Raw genomic sequence first — 3834 nt, forward strand, 5'->3', positions numbered from 1 at the left:
ACTTCCAGTACTTCACTGAATAGAACTGGTGACAGTGGGCATGTCTTGTTCCAGTTCTCAAAGGGAATGCTTTCAACTTTTCCCCATTCAGTATTATGTTGGCTGTGGGTTCGCCATAGATGGCTTTTATTGCCTTGAGGTATGTCTCTTGTATTCCAATTTTACTGAGAGTTTTCATCATAAATGGATGCTGGATTTTGTTGAATGTTTTTTCTGTGTCTATTGAGATGATCATGTGATTTTTGTTTTTAATTGTGTTTATGTGGTGTATCACATTTATTGACTTGGATATGTTAAACTACCCCTGCATCCCTGGTATGAAACCCACTTGATCATAGTGGATTATTTTTTTTTGATACGTTGTTAGATTTGGTTAGCTAGCATTTTGTTAAGGAATTTTTCACCTATGTTCATCAGGGATATTGGTCTGTAGTTTTCATTTTTGGTTATGTCCTTTCCTGGTTTTGGTATTAGGGTGATACTGGCTTCATAGAATGACTTAGGGAGGATCCCCTCTTTCTCTATCTTGTGTAATAGTGTCAATAAGATTGGTACCAATTCTTCTTCGAATGTCTGGTAGAATTCAGCTGTGAATCTGTCTGATCTTGGACTTTTTTTGTTTTTGTTGTTGGTAATCTTTTAACTACCATTTCAATCTCACCACTTGTTATTGGTCTGTTTAGGGTATCTAATTCTTTCTGATTTAAGATAGGAAGGTTTTATCTTTCCAGGAATTTATCCATCTCCTCTAGGTTTTCTAGTTTATGTGCGTAAAGGTGTTCATAGTAGCCTTGAATGATCTTTTATATTTCTATGGTGTCACATAATATTTTCTGTTTCATTTGTAATTGAGCTGATTTGGATTTTCTCTCTTCTGTGCTTGGTTAATCTTGCCAATGGTCAATCCTTATTTATCTTTTCAAAGAACCAGCTTTCTGTTTCATTTATCTTTCGCATTTTTTTGTTTCAATTTCATTAGTCCTGACCTGATCTTGGTTATTTCCTTTCTTTTGCTGGGTTTGGGTTTGGTTTGTTCTTGTTTCTCTACTTCCTTGAGGTGTGACCTTAGATTATCTATTTGTGCTTTTTTATACTTTCTGATGTCGGCATTTAGGGCTATAAAATTTCCTCTTAGCACTGCCTTTGCTGTGTCCCAGATATTTTGATAGGTTGTGTCACTATTGTCTTTCAGTTCAAAGAATTTTTTAATTGACATCTTGATTTCATTGTTGACCCAATGATCATTCAGGAGCAGGTTATTTAATCTACATATATTTGCATGGTTTTGAAGGTTCCTTTTGGCATTGATTTCCAGTTTTATTCCACTGTGGTCTGAAAGAGTACTTGATATAATTTCAGTTTTCTTAAATGTATTGAGACTTGTTTTGTGGCCTATCATATAGGCTGTCTTGGAGAAAATTCCATGCACTGATGAGTAGAATGTATATTCTGCAGTTGTTGGGTAGAATGCTCTGTAAATATCTAGTAAGTCCATTTGTTCCAGGGCATAGTTTAAATCGATTGTTTCTTTGTTGACTTTCTGTCTTGATGATCGGTCTAGTGCTATCAGTGGAGGATTGGAGTCCCCCACTATTATTATGTTGCTGTTCATCTCATTTCTTAGGTCTAGTAGTAATTGTTTTATAAATTTTGGAGCTCCAGACTTAGGTGCATATATAGTTAGGATTGTGATATTTTCCTGTTGGACAAGGACATTTATCATTATATAATGTCCCTCTCAGTCTTTTTTAACTGCTGTTGCTTTATAGTTTATCTGTTATCATAGAATATCTTTTTCCACCCATTTACCTTAAGTTTATGTGAGTCCTTATGTGTTAGTTGAGTCTCTTGAAGCAGTGGATAGTTGGTTGATGAATTCTTATCCATTCTGCAATTCTGTGCCTTTTAAGTGGAGCATTAAGGCCATCTACATTCAATATTGAGCACTGAGATGTTAGGTACTATTCCATTCATTGTGCTATTTGTTGCCTGTATACCTTGTTTGTTTTTTATTTATTTTTGTTTTATAGGTCCTGTGAGATTTATGCTTTAAAGAGGTTCTGTTTTGATGTGTTTTCAGGATTTGTTTCAAGATTTGGATCTCCTTTTAGCAGTTCTTGTAATGCTTGTAATGCAGTTCTTGTAATGGTCGCGGTGAATTCTCTCAGTATTTCTCCGAAAAAGACTATCTTTCCTTCATTTATGAAGCTTAGTTTTGCTGGATACAAAATTCTTGGCTGATAATTGCTTTGTTTAAGGAGGCTGAAGATAGGGATCCAATCCCTTCTAGATTGTCAGGTTTCTGCTGAAAAATCTGCTGTTGATCTGATAGGTTTGTCTTTTTTTTTTTTTTTTTTTTTTAGGTTTTATCAAGTTACCTGGTGCTTTTGCCTCACAATTCTTAAGATTCTTTCCTTTGTCTTAACTTTAGATAACTTGGTGAAATGTGCCTAGGTGATTATCTTTTTGCAATGAATTTCCCAGGTGTTCTTTGAGCTTCTTGAATTTGGAAGTCCAGGTCTCTAGCAAGGCCAAGGAAGTTTTCCTCGAATGTTCCCTCAAACACGTTTTCCAAACTTTTAGATCTCTCTTCTTCCTCAGGAACACCAATTATTCTTAGGTTTGGTCATTTAACATAATCCCAAACTTCCCTGATACTTTGCTCATTTTTTCTTATTTTTTTTATTTGTCTTTGTCAGATTGGGTTAATTTAAAAACCTTGTCTTCGAGCTCTAAAGTTCTTTCTTCTGCATGTTCAATTCTATTGCTGAGACTTTCCAGAACACTTTGCATTTCTCTAAGTGCATCCATCATTTCCTGAAATTTTGATTGTTTTTATTTATGCTACCTATTTCACTGAAGATTTCTCCCCTCATTTCTTGTATCATTTTTTTGATTTCCTTAACTTGGACATCATCTTTCTTTGTGCCTTCTTGATTAGCTTAATAACTGACCTTCTGAATTATTTTTCAGGTAAATCAAAGATTTCTTTTTAGTTTGGATCCATTGCTGGTGAGCTAGTGTGATTTTTTGGGTGTGTCAAAGAACTGTATTTTGTCATATTACCAGAATTCTTTTTCTGGTTCCTTCTCATTTGGGTAGGCTATGCCAGAGGGAAGGTCTACGGCTTAAGGCTGCTATTTGGATTCTCTTGTCCCATAGGGTGTTCCCTTGATGTAGTACTCGCACCCTTTTCCTAAGGATGTGGCTTCTTGAGAGTGGAGCTGTAGAGATTGTTATCTCTTTTCTGGATCTAGCCACCCAATAGGTCTACCAGGCTCTAGGCTGGTACTGGGGGTTGTCTGTACAGTCCTGTGATGTGAACCATCTCCAGGTCTCTCAGCCCAGGATACCAGCACCTGCTCTGGCGTAGGTTGCAAGGGGGTGAATTGTACTCTGTGAGGGTCCTTAGTTTTGGTTGTTTAATGCACTATTTTTGTGCTGGTTGGCCTCCTGCCAGGAGGTGGCGCTTTCAAGAGCCATCTGTTGTGGTAGTGTAGGGATGATCAGGCAGTGTGTTGGGGCCCTAGAACTCCAAAGAGTATATGCCCTTTGTCTTCAGCCACCAGGGTGGGTAGGGAAGGACCCTCAGATGGAGGCAGGGCTAGGCATGTCTGAACTCAGACTCTCCTTGGGTGGGTCTTTTTTGCTGCAGCTGCTGTGGGGATGAGGATGTGGTTCCCAGCTCAATGGACTTATGATCCCAGGAGGATTGTGGCTGCCTTTGCCATGTCATGCAGGTTGTCAGGGAAGTGGGGGAAAGCCAGAAGTCACAGGCTTCATCCAGCTTCCACACAACCCCAGAGGCCAGCCTCACTCCCACCATGCCCCCAC

The sequence above is a fragment of the Homo sapiens genome, chromosome 1 (assembly GCF_000001405.40).
Source record: "Homo sapiens chromosome 1, GRCh38.p14 Primary Assembly".
Taxonomy (NCBI): domain Eukaryota; kingdom Metazoa; phylum Chordata; class Mammalia; order Primates; family Hominidae; genus Homo; species Homo sapiens.